Source organism: Homo sapiens, chromosome 1 (genome assembly GCF_000001405.40).
Source record: "Homo sapiens chromosome 1, GRCh38.p14 Primary Assembly".
Lineage (NCBI taxonomy): Eukaryota > Metazoa > Chordata > Mammalia > Primates > Hominidae > Homo > Homo sapiens.
The window spans coordinates 45,326,047-45,345,759 of NC_000001.11; the positions used below are offsets into that span (position 1 = coordinate 45,326,047).

General features: G+C 52.2%; 4 protein-coding genes across 64 annotated transcripts in view, besides 8 other annotated features; 2 read left to right on the forward strand and 2 right to left on the reverse strand.

Annotated features, from left to right (window-relative positions):
• Positions 849-2,664, forward strand: HPDL (4-hydroxyphenylpyruvate dioxygenase like). The gene has a single exon (NM_032756.4). The coding sequence runs from the start codon at positions 1,103-1,105 to the stop codon at positions 2,216-2,218; it is 1,116 nt and encodes a 371-aa protein (NP_116145.1). The 5' UTR covers positions 849-1,102; the 3' UTR covers positions 2,219-2,664.
• Positions 881-930: an enhancer, noted in NCBI's record as "active region_963". NCBI's record gives its function as "activates an Ori minimal core promoter by ATAC-STARR-seq in GM12878 lymphoblastoid cells {active_cell/tissue: GM12878}" and the evidence as "EXISTENCE:reporter gene assay evidence [ECO:0000049][PMID:35858748]".
• Positions 941-1,190: an enhancer, noted in NCBI's record as "active region_964". NCBI's record gives its function as "activates an Ori minimal core promoter by ATAC-STARR-seq in GM12878 lymphoblastoid cells {active_cell/tissue: GM12878}" and the evidence as "EXISTENCE:reporter gene assay evidence [ECO:0000049][PMID:35858748]".
• Positions 1,951-2,060: an enhancer, noted in NCBI's record as "active region_965". NCBI's record gives its function as "activates an Ori minimal core promoter by ATAC-STARR-seq in GM12878 lymphoblastoid cells {active_cell/tissue: GM12878}" and the evidence as "EXISTENCE:reporter gene assay evidence [ECO:0000049][PMID:35858748]".
• MUTYH (mutY DNA glycosylase) lies at positions 3,196-14,394 on the reverse strand. Of its 55 annotated transcripts, none has more exons than NR_176269.1 (17): positions 14,177-14,394; positions 8,345-8,465; positions 7,367-7,515; positions 7,239-7,278; positions 7,051-7,124; positions 6,872-6,913; positions 6,717-6,788; positions 6,528-6,641; positions 6,345-6,442; positions 6,120-6,264; positions 5,977-6,040; positions 5,615-5,803; positions 5,374-5,510; positions 5,136-5,288; positions 4,470-4,511; positions 3,843-4,022; positions 3,196-3,391 (listed from the first exon to the last, which is right to left on the reverse strand). NR_176269.1 is itself a non-coding variant. In NM_001407081.1 (17 exons), the coding sequence occupies exons 3-17, from the start codon at positions 8,457-8,459 to the stop codon at positions 3,260-3,262; spliced, it is 1,566 nt and encodes a 521-aa protein (NP_001394010.1). In that variant the 5' UTR covers positions 8,460-8,465; positions 12,461-12,610; positions 13,930-14,074; the 3' UTR covers positions 3,196-3,259. The 55 variants fall into 55 exon arrangements, 48 of the variants coding, with proteins under 48 accessions (NP_001394010.1, NP_001394007.1, XP_047277150.1 ...); NR_176274.1 differs by having other exon boundaries at positions 7,367-7,451; positions 14,173-14,394; NR_146882.2 differs by having other exon boundaries at positions 14,173-14,394.
• Positions 3,409-4,343: an enhancer, noted in NCBI's record as "NANOG-H3K27ac hESC enhancer chr1:45795127-45796061 (GRCh37/hg19 assembly coordinates)". NCBI's record gives its function as "activates a minimal SCP1, AML or CMV promoter by ChIP-STARR-seq in naive H9 embryonic stem cells {active_cell/tissue: H9 hESC(naive)}" and the evidence as "EXISTENCE:reporter gene assay evidence [ECO:0000049][PMID:30033119]".
• Positions 13,446-14,113: an enhancer, noted in NCBI's record as "NANOG-H3K27ac-H3K4me1 hESC enhancer chr1:45805164-45805831 (GRCh37/hg19 assembly coordinates)". NCBI's record gives its function as "activates a minimal SCP1, AML or CMV promoter by ChIP-STARR-seq in primed H9 embryonic stem cells {active_cell/tissue: H9 hESC(primed)}" and the evidence as "EXISTENCE:reporter gene assay evidence [ECO:0000049][PMID:30033119]".
• Positions 14,114-14,782: an enhancer, noted in NCBI's record as "OCT4-NANOG-H3K27ac-H3K4me1 hESC enhancer chr1:45805832-45806500 (GRCh37/hg19 assembly coordinates)". NCBI's record gives its function as "activates a minimal SCP1, AML or CMV promoter by ChIP-STARR-seq in primed H9 embryonic stem cells {active_cell/tissue: H9 hESC(primed)}" and the evidence as "EXISTENCE:reporter gene assay evidence [ECO:0000049][PMID:30033119]".
• TOE1 (target of EGR1, exonuclease) lies at positions 14,124-17,927 on the forward strand. Of its 6 annotated transcripts, none has more exons than XM_005270413.6 (8): positions 14,124-14,496; positions 15,027-15,169; positions 15,257-15,297; positions 15,427-15,523; positions 15,903-16,061; positions 16,338-16,597; positions 16,797-16,956; positions 17,036-17,927. In XM_005270413.6, the coding sequence occupies exons 2-8, from the start codon at positions 15,113-15,115 to the stop codon at positions 17,654-17,656; spliced, it is 1,395 nt and encodes a 464-aa protein (XP_005270470.1). In that variant the 5' UTR covers positions 14,124-14,496; positions 15,027-15,112; the 3' UTR covers positions 17,657-17,927. The 6 variants fall into 6 exon arrangements, with proteins under 6 accessions (XP_005270470.1, XP_005270469.1, NP_079353.3 ...); XM_005270412.5 differs by having other exon boundaries at positions 14,124-14,276; NM_025077.4 differs by having other exon boundaries at positions 14,124-14,258.
• Positions 14,135-14,484: an enhancer, noted in NCBI's record as "active region_966". NCBI's record gives its function as "activates an Ori minimal core promoter by ATAC-STARR-seq in GM12878 lymphoblastoid cells {active_cell/tissue: GM12878}" and the evidence as "EXISTENCE:reporter gene assay evidence [ECO:0000049][PMID:35858748]".
• Positions 14,783-15,449: an enhancer, noted in NCBI's record as "H3K27ac hESC enhancer chr1:45806501-45807167 (GRCh37/hg19 assembly coordinates)". NCBI's record gives its function as "activates a minimal SCP1, AML or CMV promoter by ChIP-STARR-seq in naive H9 embryonic stem cells {active_cell/tissue: H9 hESC(naive)}" and the evidence as "EXISTENCE:reporter gene assay evidence [ECO:0000049][PMID:30033119]".
• TESK2 (testis associated actin remodelling kinase 2) overlaps positions 17,837-19,713 on the reverse strand; it is a 147,281-nt gene continuing 145,404 nt past the window's right edge. For both annotated transcript variants that reach the window (NM_001320800.2, NM_007170.3), the window contains one exon: positions 17,837-19,512. In NM_001320800.2, the coding sequence (NP_001307729.1) occupies positions 18,794-19,512 (719 nt within the window). In that variant the 3' untranslated portion in view covers positions 17,837-18,793. The remainder of the gene's footprint in view (positions 19,513-19,713) is intronic.

Consider the following 19,713-nt stretch of genomic DNA (forward strand, 5'->3'; position numbering starts at 1 on the left):
CCAGTCCTCAAAGGATGGGGAAGGGGAATGACAGCCAGGCAGCTGTTCCTTTCAGATCCCGAACCGTCAGATTTTTCCTCCAAATCTTGCTTGGGACAAGGGGTTAAATGATGTTGACAGAAGGGTGATTGAAGAAAGAGACAGGACTGGTTGAGAGATTGCCCAACACTTTGGGAGGCTGAGGTGGAAAGATGGCTTGAGCCCAGGGGTTTAAAACCAGCTTGGGCAATATAGCAAGACCCCATTTCTAAAAAAAAAAATTATTTTTAATTAGCTGGGTGTGGTGGCGTCCGCCTGTGGTCCCAGCTATTTGTGCACTGAGGCAAGGAAAATCGCCTGAACCCAGGAGGTGGAGGCTGCAGTGAGCTGTGATTGTGCCACTCCAGCCTGGGTGACAGAGTGAGACCCTGTCTCAAAACATATAAACGTGTGTGTGTGTGTGTGTGTGTGTGTGTGTGTATTCCAGGGAACATTAAGACTTAGAGGCAAACTCCAGAACTTAAAGAAAAAACATGAAAGTGCTAAAAAATTCCGTGCTTGTGGAGAGAGAATTCCAACTCTTTCCCTGAACCCGGGCTGAGTCCCTTCGCTGTGAGGTTGGGGGGATGAGTGGGAGCCCAGTGCCTGGCGCCGAGTGAAGGCAGCCATTGTGAGTTCCTGGGCTGGGGAAGGGAGGCTCAGTGCCCAAGGATGTGACCAGGCGTGAGGCCCGGGGAAAGAGCAGCGCGGCGACCCCGCAGTATCCGAGGCGACAGGGTGTGGGGGAGGGGGTGGGGAGTCAAAGGCGGAGTCACGGGCTCCGCCCTCTTTCTCCTGCTTGGCGCGAGCACAGGCACCGCGTGGTTCTCACAACCAGCAGCTCGGCTCACTGAGACCCGGTGGTCCAGACGCTGCTCCTGGCTGGGGTGGCGCTGCAGGGAGAACCGCGAGCTCTCAGGGGTCGGCGGGTGACTTCTTTCCGGAAGAAAGCGAGGAACGCGCTCTGCGGGGTGAGCCGGACTCCCCAACTCCGGACGATCAGCCCAGGACTGAGAGCCCCGAAGTCCCCAACCACAAGTAAGCGGCCCCAGAAGGACAAGTCTAGGTCGCCGTCCAGAGCGCCATGGCCGCGCCCGCCCTTCGTTTGTGCCACATCGCCTTCCACGTGCCCGCCGGGCAGCCCCTAGCCCGGAACCTGCAGCGCCTCTTCGGCTTCCAGCCCCTGGCTTCGCGGGAGGTGGACGGCTGGCGGCAGCTAGCCCTGCGCAGCGGCGACGCGGTCTTTTTGGTGAACGAGGGCGCAGGGTCTGGAGAGCCGCTGTACGGCCTGGATCCGCGTCACGCCGTGCCCAGCGCCACAAACCTGTGCTTCGACGTGGCGGACGCCGGCGCTGCAACCCGGGAGCTGGCAGCGCTGGGCTGCAGCGTGCCTGTCCCTCCCGTTCGCGTGCGGGACGCGCAGGGTGCCGCCACTTACGCCGTGGTCAGCTCGCCTGCCGGCATCCTCAGCCTGACCTTGCTGGAGCGCGCTGGCTACCGCGGACCCTTCCTACCCGGCTTCAGGCCCGTGTCCTCTGCGCCTGGCCCCGGGTGGGTCAGCCGCGTGGACCACCTGACCTTGGCCTGCACCCCCGGCAGCTCCCCCACACTTTTGCGCTGGTTCCACGACTGCCTGGGCTTTTGCCACTTGCCGCTGAGCCCAGGTGAGGATCCCGAGCTGGGCCTCGAAATGACAGCAGGGTTTGGGCTTGGGGGACTGAGGCTTACAGCCCTGCAGGCCCAGCCGGGCAGCATTGTCCCCACTCTTGTTCTGGCTGAGTCCCTTCCGGGGGCGACGACACGACAGGACCAGGTGGAGCAGTTCCTGGCCCGGCACAAGGGGCCAGGCCTGCAGCACGTGGGGCTGTATACGCCTAACATTGTGGAGGCCACTGAGGGGGTGGCAACTGCTGGAGGCCAGTTCCTGGCTCCCCCTGGGGCATACTACCAGCAGCCAGGAAAGGAGAGGCAGATCCGAGCTGCAGGGCACGAGCCTCATCTGCTTGCTCGACAGGGGATCCTGCTAGATGGTGATAAAGGCAAGTTTCTGCTTCAGGTCTTCACCAAGTCCCTTTTTACTGAGGACACTTTCTTCCTGGAGCTGATTCAGAGGCAGGGGGCCACTGGCTTTGGTCAGGGCAACATCAGAGCTCTGTGGCAGTCCGTACAGGAGCAATCTGCCAGGAGCCAGGAAGCCTAAGGATGCCCAGGGCTGGGTGCAGCCAGCTGTCCTGCAGCTCTGGGGAGACCAGCACAGAACTGAGGAACATCTGCAGGAGGCCCAACTAGTGAAAGGCTTTGCCTCCGGGGGGCAGGTGTGACTTCCATTTCATCAGTGCCTGCCAGAAGCTGTGTCTCTCATTGGGCTCCAAAGAGGTGGGATTTTTTAAAACTAAAACATTTCTTATATACAGTCTATAATAAATATGTAAGATACAAAGAACAATAAAAGAATTACACACTAGGAAATAGAACATAACCAATACTTTCGAGTCCTCCCTGTGTCCCGCTGTGATTCTATTTCCTCCCACCCACTCCTCAAATCCTGTCATTATTAGCCCTTTGCTTTTCTGTATTGTTTCACTCCGTATGTAACATAACCCTAAATAAATTATTTCGTATTTGAGGTAGGAATTTAAAACAGAACAAATCTTCTCCTGTGCTTCCTCTCCCCCTAGGGAGCGACCACTCAGGTGGGGAGGGGCTGGGTGAGAGTTGAGCCCAACTACCTACTCCAGAGTGATGCCACCACTCCAATTAGAGCTGACCTGAGACGTAAACAGAGGGTGTTGTGTGTCAGCCACTGGCAGGTTCTCCCTGTAGCTGCCTTGCCTTTCTCCTGGGGGTTGGAGGGCAGATCAGTCTGGACAGAACACCCCCACTCCAACCCCATCTGCCCGGGGCTGGCTGGGAGTTCAGCCAGAGAAAGTCAGAACCAAGCAGAACGTCACCACTTTTCTGGGTCCCTCCCTCAGATATAAGGGGTGAGGGGGCTAGGGAGAGGGTGGAAGGCTGTCCAAAATAGCTACAAAAGGGCGGGCGTGGTGGCTCATGCCTGTAATCCAAGCACTTTAGGAGGCTGAAGTGGGAGAATCACTTGAGGCCAGAATCACCTGAGTTCGAAACCAGTCTGAGCAACATAGCGAGACCCCCATCTCAAAAAAATACAACATAAAATAACTACAAAAATAAGCACTTTACTAACAACAGGATTCTCAGGGAATGGGGGCTTTCAGAGGTGTCACTGGGCTGCACTGTTGAGGCTGTGTGCATCAGTGGAGATGTGAGACCGAAAGAAATTATCCAGGACTTGCTGGCCCATGCGGGGCTTTTTCCGACTGCACGGAGAGGACACCTGGGACCTTTTGGAACCCTGTGAAAAAATGGAAGGAGGGAGGCCTTGTAGTTGGGGGAGGGGGAGCAGAGAATCCTCTCCTTGTCCTCTCTCCCTTTCCCCGACTCTACTGATCTAGCTAGGCTTAGCCTGGAATGCTGTAGAGCTTTCATCCTGCCTCAAGTATCTGCCCCATCAATCAACCCTCCAAAAGGCTGCCTGAGGGAATCGAATTGTCCTAAAAATGCAAATCTGACTCCTCTCTCCTCCACCTAAAATGAGTCAGCAGCCTAGGGCTCACACCCTGACTGACCCAGCAGGCCCTGCTGACCTTTCCAGCTAAACCAACTGCTCACAGCTCCTTGAGCACTGCAGCCTGCACTGGGCTCCACCTTTGCTCACACTACTCTTGGGACTGGAAAGAACATCGCTACGGTTGATTCCCCTCCCAAACCTGAAGAAAAGGATTCATTTCTAGGACGAAGATTACCAGCTGCTTCCTCCAAACAGCCTTTCCTGATCCGTCTCCCAATTAGAACTGATAGCTCCCATGGATGGGTGTGGTGGCTCACGCCTGTAATCCCAGCACTTTGGGAGGCCAAGATGGGCAGATCACTTGAGGTCAGGAGTTCGAGACCAGCCTAGTCAACATGGTGAAACCCTGTCTCTACTAAAAATACAAAAATTAGTTGGGTGTGGTAGCAGGCACCTGTAATCCCAGCTACTTGGGAGACTGAGGCAGGAGAATCGCTTTAATCCAGTTGTGGGAGATTGCAGTGAGCCGAGATCGGGCCACTGCACTCTAGCTTGGGTGACAGTGAGACTGTCTCAAAAAAAAAAAAAAAAAAAAAAAAGAACTGATGGCTCCACAATTCATATCCCACAAAACTCAGTACAGGCATTTCACACACCTGTGACACTGGAGAGTCCTCATCATTTTTTTCCTTTCCCTCTACCCTGCACCCCACAATGGAAGGTCTCCAGGTCAAGAACTATTCCTCCCTCCAGTGAAGCCTGGAGTGGAGAATGTTCACCCAGACATTCGTTAGTTAACTGACTAAAAACCTATGGACTCAGGCCTGGGGAGACACGGTTGGGAGAGGCCTAGGAGACTTACCATACAGGTCCCTGGCTGTTGGCCCTGATACACACGGAAAACCTAGACAAGAAGACAGGGAGGTGAGGGCTGGCACTTTTTGCAAAAGAGATAAACCGGTGTTCTGCCCTTAACTTCATGTCCCAGTACTTTTGTTTAAAATATGCTTTTTTGGCCAGGCATGGTGGCTCACGCCTATAATCCCAGCATTTTGGGAGGCCAAGTCGGGTGGATCACTTGAGGCCAGGAGTTTGAGACCAGCCTGGCCAACATGGTGAAACCCCATCTCTAAAAATACAAAAAATCATGGCTGGGTGTGGTAGCTCACACCTGTAATCCCAGCATTCTGGGAGGCTGAGGCGGGCGGATCACTTGAGGTCAAGAGTTGGAGACCAGCCTGGCCAGCATGGTGAAACCTCATCTCTACTAAAAATACAAAAATTAGCCAGGCATGGTGGCGGGCGCCTGTAATCCGAGCTACTCAGGAAGCTGAGGCAGGAGAATCACTTGAACCCGGGAGATGGAGGTTGCAGTCAACCGAGATAGCGCCATTGCACTCCAGCCTGGGCAACAGAGCGATTCTCCGTCTCAAAAAAAAATGCTTTTTTTCCTGTTTACACAGTAATATATTCATGTAGAACATGTAGGAAACACAAGGAAGTACAACAAAGACAACAAAGGTAGTGCCTTTTTCATGGCGGTGGAAACAGCTGCGGTGTGAAATTCCTCCTGCGTCAGCCAGCGAGCACCTGGTGGTACGGTGGTCACTGGGGTCTGCCCTTCCAAGGCCAGCCCATATACTTGATATGTCAGCTTGATGTGAGAGAAGGTGTGGACAACCTGGAGGAAGGGTCAAGGGGTTCAAATAGGCCTGTGGATATAGCCTCAAAAGCCAACATCCTTGGCTATTCCGCTGCTCACTTACCTCCCCAAGGTGCCGGAGGTGCGTGGCTGGGAGGGGCCCAGCCCAACGCTGTAGTTCCTGCAGCAGGGCCTTGCGCTGAAGCTGCTCTGAGGGCTCCCAGGTCACGGACGGGAACTCCCACAGTCCTGCCAGCAGACCTGAGAGGGAGGGCAGCCAGGCAGGGGTCAGGCCTCAGCTGCCGATTCCCTCCATTCTCTCTTGTTACTCATGCCACTGCCCTCCACGCCCAGTATCCAGGTACCTGAGTTGGGCCTCTGCACCAGCAGAATTTGGGCCCCAAGGGCCCCAGGCTGTTCCAGAACACAGGTGGCAGAGCTCTCCTCCCTGGGGGGCTTGCGGCTGGCCTTTCTGGGGAAGTTGACCACTCCCAGGGTCTGGTCCCAGGGCTCCGAGGGAGGCAGGCACAGGTGGCACTGTCCAGTGTTGGGAGCTGGGAACGGAGATCCCCGAACCCTACTCAAGCCAAGAGGGCTTTAGGGGCCAACCTAGAGAGTGGGCTTTGGCCGGGTTCTGCAGAATCTTACTCAGGTTAGAGGAAGAACTGGAATGGGGCTTCTGACTGGGCCAGGAAGGGTTGGGGTGGGGGCTAGGTTTGGTGCTCACCACACTCCTCCACGTCAGGACTGCCCGACAGGCTCCCTGAGGCTAAGAGCTGTTCCTGCTCCACCTGAGAGGCACAGGGTTGAGTGTCATAGGGCAGAGTCACTCCTTAGGACTTCTCACTGCCCCTTCCCCAGTAGGCTTACTCTCTGGCGTGCCCGGCACAGGCTCTCCACAGGGCACTGGCTGCACAGTGGGCGCTGTGGGGTACACACTGTGGCCCCTAGCTCCATGGCTGCTTGGTTGAAATCTCCTGGCCGGGCTGGGTCCACCAGCTGCTGGGCTAGACCCCTAAAAGAAGGGAACACTGCTGTGAAGCAGAGCTCCTTTGCAGACACCCCTGAAGCACCCTTGTTACCCCAACATCCTACCAGAGCTGCTGGGAAACAAGGGTGCTGCTGGGATCAGCACCAATGGCTCGGACACGGCACAGCACCCGTGCTACGTTGCCATCCACCACACCGGTTGCCTGGCACAGAGGGGCCAAAGAGTTAGCCTGGGCTGGGAGGAAGGAGGCTGGGCACGCACAAAGTGGGGGTGGGCTGTGAGATCACCTGGCCAAAGGCGATAGAGGCAATGGCCCCAGCTGTGTAGCGCCCCACGCCAGGCAGGAGCTGCTGCAGGGTCTCTGCTGTACGTGGCATGTGGCCCCCTAGCTCCTCTACCACCTGATTGGAGTGCAAGACTCAAGATTATAAGACACCCAAGACTCCTGGGTTCCTACCCTCCTGCCATCCCCTTACCTTCCGAGCTCCCTCCTGCAGCCGCCGGCCACGAGAATAGTAGCCCAGGCCAGCCCAGAGTTGATTCACCTCCTGTGGGTAGGATCAGAGGTCAAAGAGATCACCCGTCAGTCCCTCTATTGTTCCTATTTCCCCTACCCTAGGGTGGCTCTCACCTCCAGGGAAGCACTGGCCAGGTCCTGCAGTGTAGGCCACTTCTATAGCCACAGGCAGGCAGAAAGAGACAAGGTCAAGGGTGAAGGTGGTAGAGGAAGCCTTCTCTACACCCACCCCAAAGTAGAGGCTCTCATCTGGGGTCTGACCCATGACCCTTCCCTTCCTCCCCTGGAGTCACCTGCATCCATCCGGTATAGTAGTTGATCACAGTGGCAACCTGGGTCTGCTGCAGCATGACCTCTGAGACCCACACTGGGGGAAAGGGGTTGGCATGAGGACACTGCTGACCTGCCCCTACCTGGCCCACAGCCCCCAGACCCAAGGGCCTCGAGGCAAAGTGGCCCTGCTCTCAGGAGATGTACTGACCAGCATATGCCCGCCTGTCCAGGTCCATCTCATCTTCTGCCTGTCAATGCAACCCCAGATGAGGAGTTAGGGTGGAGGGGGCTGGGTGCCTGCCTCCCACCCACTGTCCCTGCTCCTCGCCTGCCTACCCGTCTTCTCCATGGTAGGTCCCGTTTCTCTTGGTCGTACCAGCTTAGCAGGCTCCCTCGGAAGGCTGTGACTTCAGCTACGTCTCTGAATAGATGGTATGAGGAGACAGAGGCCTGCAATACCACCTCTTCCGGCTGCCTGGCCAGGCCTGCTGGGGCCCCAGGACACTCAGCAATCATCCCTGCACAGGCTGTGCATCAGGGTCTTGGGACACAGCAGCCTGTGGCAGTATGCTCCCACTTAGGGCTTCCCCCAACTAACCCCCTTAAGCTTTGGAGCTGGAGTCAGACCAGAGTTATGTAATTGTGTGTAGCTGTGGCTAAGTTTCTGGCCTTAATTTTCTCAGGGTGGTACTACTGGCTTGTCTCTGAGCCATAATGAAAACCTAATAGTTTTAGCCAGCTAGAATGTATACTGGTGCAGGACCTTCCTATTCACAAAACACTTTCAGGCTCATAAACTCATTTGGTCCCATGAAAGCCACATGAGGGAGGAAATGCTGAACTACTGCTCCATTTTACTGGTAAGAAAGCAGCCATTCAGAGCAATTGTCCCAATGTCACACAGCAATACAGTCAGAATTACACCCTCAGTGAGTCTCTTTTGTTTTGAGACAAGAGTCTGGCTCTGTTGCCCAGACTGAAATGCAGTTGCATTATCTTGACTCAGTGCAACTTCTGCCTTCCAGGCTCAAGCGATCCTGTCACCTCAGCTTCCCGAGTAGCTGGGACTACAGACGCTCACCACCACGCGAGCATAGAGAGGGGATTTCGCCATGTTACCCAAGCTGGTCTCAAACTCCTGGGCTCAAGGGATCCACCTGCCTCGGCCTCCCAAAGTGCTGGGATTACAGGTGTGAGCCACCGCACCTGGCCCTTAGTAAGTCTCTTAATGTCTTGATACGTATCACAATCCCTTCCCAGCCTGAATCTGCCTTTCATGGCCAATGAGCCTTGGGCCACAACCTAGTTCCTTACCATCACAGGCAGAAGGCTTGGCCTGACTGTTGTTCTTAGCATGCTTCTGCCTCCCTTCCTGGCTGGCTGCCTGCTTCCTGTGACCACTTCCCACGGCTGCTCGTGGCTTCCTCATGATGGCCTGAAACAAAAAGACCCAGCCAAAGCAGTCAGTCACAATGAGGCCAAATTTTGAGGCCTTCCAAGGGTGATAGCTATCTCCCTCTCATCCACCATTCACATGGGGTCCAGCTTCTCTCAAGCACTCTCAAGATGCTCACGGGTTTACTCTTGGCTGGCTGCAGCACTGAGATACAACTAGTATAGCTGAGCAAGTGGCCTCAAGGGGGCCGGCGTTACAGCCCTGGAGACATGCAAAGACTGTGAGGCCAGGGCTGGGATGGGTCAAGGATGAAAGCCTCCTGTTTGGGAGCATTTGTGTATCTCTGATGCTTACTGTGACTGTGTGTGTGGATAGGGGTTGTTTAGGTGTGTCTGGGAGAATGGGGGTAGGCGGTTTCTCTGCCTCTTAGAGATGTAGCATGGTTACACTGAAACAGCCTGTAGTAGTCATTAAGTCCAAAACCTTCATTTTATCCTAGAAGAAACCAAGGATCAGAGGGACAAAAGATCTGTCTGAGAACAGATGGCAAATCAGTGGGAGAACAGAGATTAGCTATTTTTATTCCTAATCTAGTAAACCATAGGTGGCTGACCATCAACAATGAGAAAATGTGCCTGGTTGATTTTCACTGCTCCCTAACTGTTATAATGGCCGCCTTTTCTCTAACAGCTAAAATTAGTTGATATTTTGTGAGTGCCTACTCTATGTCAGACCCCATGAAGAGCTTTACCGGATCTCTCAATCTCCTGGTGACTCTATGAGGTATGTACTAGTATCACCTCCACCTTAGTTATAAGGAAATTGAGGTTTATGGAGATTAAGCGACTTGTTCTTTCAAATCCACGACCAGCATTCTTATACTGTGATAAAATGCAGTCCCTGCTAAGCCTCTGTATCAAACTCTCCCCCCAAACCTTTGACTTTACCACCTCATTTTCATCAAAAGAGCTTGCCTCCTCCTTCAGAAAAAAAAAAACCAACTTCAAATCTACCTCCATTTGCACTGTCTTACCCTCCTCCTCTTCAGGGTCCTGCTCCTCCAATCCCGTCTAACTGTTGGAACTCAGAAACTAATACCCCAGGCCAGGCACGGTGGCTCATGCCTGTAATCCCAACACTGCGGGAGGCTAAGGCAGGCAGATCACTTGAGGCCAGGAGTTCGAGACCAGCCTGGCCAACATGGCGAAACCCCATCTCTACTAAAAATCCAAAAAAATTAGCCAGACGTGCTCGCTTGAACCCAGGAGGCAGAGCTTGCAGTGAGCTGAGATCATGCCACTGCACAGCCTGGGCAACAAAGACAGAGCAAGACTCTGTCTCAAAAAAAAAGAAAAGAAAAGAAACCAATACCCCAAAATATGGCCCTCTGACATGCTGAACTCAAGAAGCCGCAAGGTCTCTCTGATCCTTCCACCCCAGACTCTCCCAAAGCCAGGATAAAGTTGTTCTCTGGAACTCTTTATCTGCCTAAAGTCCAAACTCACTAAAAAGAATACTTGTTTTTTCTTCCCCTCCCAATAAGACTAACATGTAACCACACCTGAACAAACCCTTTCACAGGTATTGTGTACCTCAGGATCACTCAAATTCCAAAGAGAACTATTAACAAGTCAACCTCTGTCCCCATTCCATTCTCTCTAGTAATCCTTTATTGCCCTTCAACAGAATCTCCTTCTGGCCAAAGTTCGGTTTATTTAAAAACAAATAGAGCTGGACATGCTGGCTCAGGCCTGTAATCCCAGCACTTTGGGAGGCCAAGGCAGGAGGATTACTTGAGCCCAGGAGTTCGAGATTAGGCTTGCAACATAGCAAGACCCCGTCTCTACAAAAACAGAAAAACAGAATTTCTCTTCTACCCCTTGTCAGGCCTCTGAGCCCAAGCTAAGCCATCATATCCTCAGTAACCTGCACTTATACATCCAGATGGCCTGAAGCAACTGAAGATCTACAAAAGAAGTGAAAATAGCCTTAACTGATCACATTCCACCACTGTGATTTGTTTCTGCCCCACGCTAACTGATCAATGTACTTGGTAATCTCCCCCCCACCCTTAAGAAGGTTCTTTATAATCTCCCCACCCTTGAGAATGTACTTTGTGAGATCCACCCCCTGCCCCCAAAACATTGCTCTTAACTCCAATGCCTATCCCAAAACCTATAAGAACTAATGATAATTCCACCACCCTTTGCTGACTCCTTTTTTTCAGACTCAGCCTGTCTGCACCCAGGTGAAATAAACAGCCTTGTTGCTCAGACAAAGCCTGTTTGGTGGTCTCTTCACATGGACACACGTGAGACACCCCTCCCATAATCTGTTTTGCCAGATGGTATATAAACTCACGAACTCTGTAGGGAGATGGGTAATCACTTTATGGTTCTCCCAATGTGCATGTTAATAAATTTGTATGCCTTTTCTCCAGTTAACCTGCCTTTTGTGAGCTGATTTTTCAGCAGATCTTCAGAGGGCAAAGGGAAAGATTTTCCCCTTGGCTCGTAACACAATCAAATCCCACCCTCCTTCCCTTCATAGCCAAACTTCCTTCACCAAACCTGCTTACTTCCACATTCATTCTACAATCTATTCTCCAAAGAGCAAAGGAATCTTTTCCAGATCACGTCACTTCCTTCCTTATAACCTTCAATGGTTTCCCATTCTTTTTTTTTTTTTTGGGATGGGGTCTCACTCTGTCACCCAGGCTGGAGTGCAGTGGTGTGATCTTGGCTCACTGCAACCTCTGCTTCCTCGGCTCAAGCAATCCTCCCACCCCAATACCCCACCCCAACTCCAAGCAGCTGGGACCACAGGCGCACACCACCACCACATCCAGCTAATTTTTGTATTTTTGTTAGAGACAGGGTTTCACCATGTTGCCCAGGCTAGTCTCCACCTCCAGAGCTCAAGCAATCAACCCGCCTCGGCCTCCCAAAGTGCTGGGATACAGGCATGAGCCACGGCGCCTGGTGACACCCCATTATATTCTTTTATTTTCTTTCTTTTCTCTTTTTTTCTCCCTCCCTCTTTCCTTCCTTCCTTTTTTCCTTTTTCTTTCTTTTTTAAATACTGTAGGCCTTTACTATGGGTCATTAAATTCTTGAGCAAGCTGGTTGTGGTGGCTCAACACTGTAATCCTGCTACTCTGGAGGCTGAAGTGAAGAACAGCTTGAGCCCAGAAGGTCGAGGCTGCAGTGAGCTATGATTGTGCCACTGCACTCCACCCTGGGCTCAGCAAGACCTTGTCTCTTAAAGAAAAAAAAAGATTGAGCAAATATTTATAGAGCCCCCTAATATGTGCCAAGCAGTTTTAGGCACTTGGCATACTTCAGTAAATAAAACATCAAAAGTTCCTGCCCTCAGGGAGCTTATATTCTAATGGGGACAGAAAAGGAATAATGAACATAAGTAAATTCCATAAGATGTTAGGTGATAAATATTAGCATAAAAAGCAAAAATTAGACCAAGAGGGGAAAAAAAAGAGTGCCAAGGTGGGGTTTAATGTTGCAATTTTAAAGACTGTGGTCAAGGTAGACCCAAAGCATTCTAAGTGAGTGCAAAGGCCCCAAGGAGGGTGCCTGGTATGTCTGTGGTACAGTAAGTAGGTCAATGTGGTTAGAATGGAATGAGATGGGACTGAGTGGTAGAAGAGGTCAGAGAAGTAAACCAGATGAGGTGGGGAGAGGAGGGTCACAAAGTACCTTATAGGCCATTGGAGGGATTTGGCTGCCACACCCTTGCTCTTAGAAGGCAGTCCTCTTACTACAGCCTTGCAGGTCCAGTGATCCGGGCACCATCCGCCTCATCCCCTCACTATGCTCTAGCCAAGGTTGACTGAATTTAGTTGCTTAAACACCTCAAGTGTGTCTGCCCACCTTGGGGCCTCACACAATCCATTTCCTCTGTTTGGACTCTTTTATGCTTTTACCTAACACCTTATCATTTTTCAAGTCTTGACTGAAATGTCCAAATCAGGTCCCCTCATCTTATCCTATCACATATTTCTGCCTTGTAGCTCTTACCTAATGTAATTTTACATTACTTTGATTCTTTCCATCAGTGTGTACTTCCTGAATTTGACTGTAAAAAACGACTTGAGTGCAAGGACTGATTCTCTTGTTGATTGGTGTGTGTCCAAAGTCAGTGCCAGGTAAACTGTACACAATAGATACCTGTTAAATGAATTAATGGGATGGGGGATAGTCAAAAGAGTTTCCCTTTTTTAGGATAGGAGAAATCCAAAGAGTTTTTTTATTTTTGTTTTTTTTTTGTTTGTTTGTTTTGTTTTTAGAGACAGTGTGTCCCTCACTTTGCTGCTCTGCCACTCAGGCTGGAGTGCAATAAGAACATGGCTCACTGCAGCCTCGACCTCCTGGGCTCAAGCCATCCTCTCACCTCAGCCTCCTGTAGCTGGGACTACAGGTGCGCACCACCATGCCCAACTAATTTTTAATTTTCTTTTTGTAGAGACAAGGTTTCACTATGTTGCCCAGGCTAGTCTTGAACTCCTAGGGTCAAGCGATCCTCCCACCTTGGCCTCCTAAGATGATTACAGGCCATAAGCCACTGCGCCCGGCCCAAGCAGTTCTGAATAATGATGAAATGGGCTCAGTTGAGAGAAGCTGAAGATTAACTATAAACAATGAGTAACAAAGGAGCACTGGAAGGCAGAGGTGGATGGGAATCGTAGTGTTTACGGAGGGACTAGTCTCCAATAGGAATTTTTTTTTTTTTTTTTTTTTTGAGACGGAGTTTCGCTCTTGTTGCCTAGGCTGAAGTGCAAAATGGCGTGATCTCGGCTCACCGCAACCTCTGCCTCCCAGGTTCAAGCGATTCTCCTGCCTCAGCCTCCCAAGTAGTGGGATTACAGGCGCCCGCACCATACCCAGCTAATTTTTTTTGTACTTTTAGTAGAGACGGGGTTTCACCATGTTGGCCAGGCTGGTTTTGAACTCCGGACCTCAGGTAATCCGCCCGCCTCGGCCTCCCAAAGTGCTGGGATTACAGGCGTGAGCCACCGCGCCCGGCCTAGGAACCTCTTTCAAATTCAATCACCCTCTAGGTCGACTATACCGCCTAGCTGCTTCACAATTTGTCCCTTCCTCGCCATCCATACTGCCAGCCTTAATTCAAGTTCACATTATCACTTGATTGGATTATTACAAAAGCTTCCCTACCAATCGGTCGCTCTTACACCCTGGGCAGCCTCCTCCGATGGCCCACTCCCCGCCTCTTTCACTTTCTGGAGATCACTGAGCTCTCCATCCTCTCTGGGAATTTACCGATGCCCAGAACGCCCTTCTTTCCCCCACACGACCCTCTCCTAGTCTAACTCCTGGGCGTGCTTTAAGCTCAGCTCAGGCAGCGTCACCTTCTCTGGAAAGCCCAAACCCAGCCACCCCACTACCCGCTACCCGCGGCCCACGCTGATGAAGACAGCAGAACACGGAGGCCCCGCGTTCCCGCCGCGAGAGCAGGAGAGAAAGATTACCTCCCGCGAGCTCTAGCGCGCCCGGCTTTCCGGCGCACTCCAGGGGGCGTGGCTCGGGTCCACCCGGGCTGCGAGCCGGCAGCACAGGCCAATAGGCAATTAGCGCGCGCCAGGCTGCCTTCCCCGCGCCGGACCCGGGACGTCTGAACGGAAGTTCGACCCATCGGCGACCCGACGGCGAGACCCCGCCCCATCCCCGACTGCCTGAACCGCGCCAGGAGACGGACCGCAAGTCCAGCGTACCCACAGACGACTCAGGCGGGAGACGAGCGGTGTCATGGCCGCCGACAGTGACGATGGCGCAGTTTCAGCTCCCGCAGCTTCCGACGGTGAGCGGCTTCCCAGAGGTAGCCTTCAAAGCCTCTGCGCTCTGGGAGAGGGGAAGGCCTCGGGCTCATAGTTCTAGAGGCTCCTCAAGCTTCAGAGGACTGCTCCTTCCGCCTGAACTAGCCACGAGGAGACTACAAGTTCCGTTGTACACCGCGGCTCCGGCTGCAAAAGCCTGGAGCGTTGGGAGCATGGGGCTGATGGAGGCATGGCGGGAGATGTAGTCTGGAGCTCATAACGGTTAGTAGTAATAGTTGTGATTCAGTTCAGTGGAGTGGATTGAGCGTTGTGATCCAAAGGAAGGTAGGACGTATTGGGAGCTCTGGTGTGGGGCACTGCCAGGCTCTGGGGCTTACTGGGAGCTGTTGCTTGTGGCGCTGGGGCACCATGAGAACAGTAGTATGGATCCCTGTGGGATATTAAGGGAGCTGAGATCCTCAAGCCCTACAAAATGTTTCCTGCAGGACATGGGAAAAAAGAATCAAAGGTCGTCTAGTCCAACTTTCTCCTCTACAGATTGTGAAAGCGAGGTGGGAAGTAATTTACCCAGGCTCATACAAGCCAGTAGAAGACTCAGGCTTCCTCTCCCCAAATTCAGGGCATTCTCCACTCCAAGGCCTGTGTGTAGAACACGTGGGTTACAAAGGCTTGTGGGAAAAGCTACCAATGGAAACTACCCCCCTTACCACCATCACCGTGGCCTAGCTTGGTGTCTGTTCCCCTGGGCTCTTTCCTTAAGCATGAACATCCATCACCCTCCTAACCCCCAGGTGGTGTCAGCAAAAGCACAACATCTGGGGAGGAGCTAGTAGTCCAGGTTCCCGTAGTGGATGTGCAAAGCAACAACTTCAAGGAGATGTGGCCATCCCTCCTGCTAGCCATAAAGACAGCTAATTTCGTGGCTGTGGACACGGTGAGAGTTGGGAAACAAGGAGGGCAGGTGGTTGTGAAGGGGCTGGTGCTAGAGGCCTGTCACAACTCTCCCTTTACCTACCCACAGGAGCTGAGTGGGCTTGGGGACAGGAAGAGTTTGCTGAACCAGTAAGTATAAGCCCTTTTCTCTTTAGTGCCAGCCCTCAACTGTGGAGTGGGGGGGTCACAGACCTGGGTGGTTTGGGTCCTTCATAAGGCTAACTCCTAGCCACAGCAACCCCCATACCCAACCCCAAGGTGCATTGAGGAACGTTACAAGGCCGTGTGTCATGCTGCCAGGACCCGTTCTATCCTTTCCCTGGGCCTCGCCTGCTTCAAGCGGCAGCCAGACAAGGTATGAGCTGATCTCACCCCAATCCTAGGTGTGGCTGTGGGGTGGAGGGTAGAGAGATTCTAGGGAACATCAGATAGGAAGCATTTCTCTCCCAAATCTTTTTTTTTGACTTGATAGTTTTTTTTTTTTTATTTGAATAGGTTTATGGGGAACAGGTGGTGTTTGGTTAAATGAGTAAGTTCTTTAGTGGCAATTTCTGAGATTTTGGTGCACCTATCACCCAGTGTACACTGTGCCCAATGCGTAGTCTTTTATCCCTCACCTGCCTCCATCCTTTCCCCCCTGAGTCCCCAGAGTCCATTGTATCATTCTTAAGCTTTTGCATCCTCCTAGCTTGGCTCTCTGAAATCTTGATATAGCAGACTTCTCTTTCTCCCAGGGTGAACATTCCTATCTGGCTCAAGTGTTCAATCTCACTCTGCTGTGCATGGAGGAGTATGTCATAGAACCAAAGTCTGTGCAGTTCCTGATACAGCATGGCTTCAACTTCAACCAGCAGTATGCCCAAGGCATCCCCTACCATAAGGGCAATGACAAGGTAGGCCTCTAGCCTCCCTAGCCTTGAGTCTGCCCTTTCTGTGACTTTATTTCTTCCTACCCTAGGCTGGATGTCTGGGGAGAATCTGCTTCTTAGGGAGTATGGGGAATCACTAGTGACAGGGCTTGGGAAACAAGACTGGTATGAGGAGGGTGGGCAGCATTGGGTAAGGTAGAGAGAGAGCGTTCCAAGTGGGGAAGTCTGGGATAAGTGCCCAGCAGAAGAGGCTCCCTGGGGGACTCTGTCCTCCTCATTGACCCCTTTACTTTCATCTAGGGTGATGAGAGCCAGAGCCAGTCAGTACGGACCCTATTCCTGGAGCTAATCCGAGCCCGCCGGCCCCTGGTGCTACACAATGGCCTTATAGACTTGGTGTTCCTGTACCAGAACTTCTATGCACACCTCCCTGAGAGTCTGGGAACCTTCACCGCTGACCTGTGTGAGATGTTCCCAGCAGGCATTTATGACACCAAATATGCTGCTGAGTTTCATGCCCGTTTCGTGGCCTCCTACTTAGAATATGCCTTCCGGAAATGGTGAGGAAATGGTTGAGGGAAAGGGGTGGGGCCTGATACGAGTTTATTTCATTCACTTAAGATATTTATTGAGCTCCTACCATGTGCCCAGGCAGTGTTTTAGGTGCTGAGGATTCAGCAGTGAACAAAACAGACCACAAAACCCTGCTCTTATGGAGCTTATATGCTAGTGGACCATTACCCTCTTGCGCTGTTGCAGTGAACGGGAAAATGGGAAGCAGCGGGCAGCTGGCAGCCCACACCTTACCCTGGAGTTCTGCAACTATCCTTCCAGCATGAGGGACCATATTGATTACCGCTGCTGCCTGCCCCCAGCAACCCACCGTCCTCATCCCACCAGCATCTGTGACAACTTCTCGGTGAGAGCACCCACCTGTTTCTTGGGAGGGAAGGTTCTGATGCCTGGAGCCTCTTTCTAAGCCTCTTTCCCACCCCTAGGCTTATGGCTGGTGCCCCCTGGGACCACAGTGTCCTCAGTCTCACGATATTGACCTTATCATTGACACTGATGAGGCTGCGGCAGAGGACAAGCGGCGACGGCGACGACGTAGGGAAAAACGGAAGAGGGCTTTATTGAACCTACCGGGGACACAGACCTCTGGGGAAGCTAAGGATGGTCCTCCCAAGAAGCAGGTCTGTGGGGATAGCATCAAGCCTGAAGAAACCGAGCAGGAGGTGGCTGCCGATGAAACTAGGAACCTGCCTCACTCCAAGCAAGGCAACAAAAATGACTTAGAGATGGGGATTAAGGCAGCAAGGCCTGAAATAGCTGATAGAGCTACCTCAGAAGTGCCAGGGAGCCAAGCCAGTCCTAACCCAGTGCCTGGGGATGGATTGCACCGGGCTGGTTTTGATGCCTTTATGACAGGTTATGTGATGGCCTATGTGGAAGTGAGCCAGGGACCGCAGCCCTGCAGCTCTGGACCCTGGCTCCCTGAATGCCACAATAAGGTATATTTGAGTGGCAAAGCTGTACCCCTCACAGTGGCCAAGAGCCAGTTCTCTCGTTCCTCCAAAGCCCACAATCAGAAGATGAAGCTCACTTGGGGCAGTAGCTGATGCAACTTCCACCTTGCTCTCAGGTGGAACAGAGGTATTTTGGGTCTCTCTAGCCTGAAATGTCATCCTCAACTGCTACTGAGTTTAGGGGAGGGGGAATGTCTTGACAGACATCACTGCATTGCCCTGGACCGCCTCCTTTATCCCAGTGTTTGAGGTACAAGTAAGAAGGCTGACCAGCACCTGTAACACTGACTTTATTTTTAAGTCTGAAAATGTCTTGGGAAAGTTTTACAAAAAAAAAAATCAACAGAAGCAAGTTATGAAAATATTTGACCAGCTTCATCTTTGGTTATTTCTTATTGCAGCTCTGTAAGGACAGACTGTTCCCAAAGCTCCAGCCATGGCAGGAAGGGAAGCAAATCAGTCCCTGTATAAACCATTTAACCAATTGAATGTATCACATGTTGATAAATACATAGAAGCAGGCCCTAGGGCCTACAAAACCAGCCCCACTCCCAACCACAAGGTTGAAAGTCTTATGGGGCAGAACATTAAGACTCCTTTATAAATATGAAAATAGATTAATCAACAGGAAAAGGTCTTTGAATAGGTTAGCTAAGAGCCATGACCACCACGCTGCCTTGCTGTCCCCTTGCATAGAAATGTAGTGACGTGGTCTGACCATGCAGTAAGTGCAAACAGCAATTACTCAAATGTCTTAGAATACTGGCAAGAAGCACCCCAATATTCAGGTCTGGGAAACAGCCATGACCATTACGGCCTCTTGATCAGCTCCATGTTCCACTCAGTAGCTTATATGCCCCAAGAAAAGGCAAGAGACAGACCTGGGGTGGGGAAAGAACCGGGGTAATAGCTGCCTGCCAGCTCAGCCTAGAACTAGACATCCTCTGGTCCTATCTGGGGAAGTACACTGGAGAGGGTCTGGTGGGAGGCAGACCTCCTTGCTGGATTTCAGAGGCTTGGTATCAGCTGTTGGCCCTAACTAGGAAGGCCTCTCACTGCTGCCTCCCGTCATACACAGCCAATGGGCACTGGGAGCCCAGAAGTTGAGCCTGGCTTGGCCTAGCCTGCCTGCTCTGTAGGCTCCAGGGAAGAATCAAGGCTGTGCACCTAGGGGGCCATATGGTTTCAGCTGAAGGTCCATCCCCAAGGTGAGGCAGGGACTAAACCCCCTCACCCATCCTGCTTTCCCTGGGTTTGCAGGCCTATGCCTGAGGTGGAGAAGGTGGCTGGAGTTGAGCCTGCTGGCCTTTCTTCTACCTCCATCTCCTCAGAAGCACCCGCAGGGCATGGACTGGTCCCCTGGGGCCTGGACCCAAAACCATTTTCTTCCTGGAGAATGGAGCAGTCCATAGCCTCATGGGCTTGAGCAGCTGGTAGGGCAGATGCCCGGAATGGTGGGATCTCTTTAACTCTGTACTTGAGACTACTTAGGCGTGGTGGGGGCCCATCAGATAGCGATTCTTCCCGGCCCACAAATGGACAAGCCTCTTGATGCAAGAACTCAGGCGAACCAGGCAAGGAACGCCACCGGCGAATAGGTGGGGCCAGGGGCTCCTGCCAGTCAGCCAGGGGCATAGTTCCGGGCCCTGGTGCATCCAGGTCAAATACCAGAGAGATGACAGACTTGCTGGGCAGGTCAAAAAACTTGATCTTGCCCCCCATGAGGTCCTGGCGAGCACTAAAAGGGTTGACTTTGGGGGTGCGGGCAGCACCATCTCGTGGCCGGTAGTATGGGTCCAAGACACTCACTGTACGTGGGGGCTTACGGGAAAAGATATCTGACTGGCTTCGAGACAGCCAGATGGTACGTCTTGGGCATGGTGACTTGTGGGGGATCTTGTCATCCAGTGAGCTTAGTCGCTTCACCCCAGGTGCTTTCTCCAAGAGTCCTGAAGAATAATCAAGTCTGGGTTACTCTCACTAGTCATAACAAATACAAGCAGCATTTTACCACAGAATGTTTTCACTCATGAAAGCAAAGCTGATACCATGGCCCTGTTTTACCAATGAAGAAACAGACTCAGAGAGGGGAAGCAGTATGCCAAGCCACAGCTCTTAAAAAGGCCAGTACTTTCTGCATCATCTCCTTC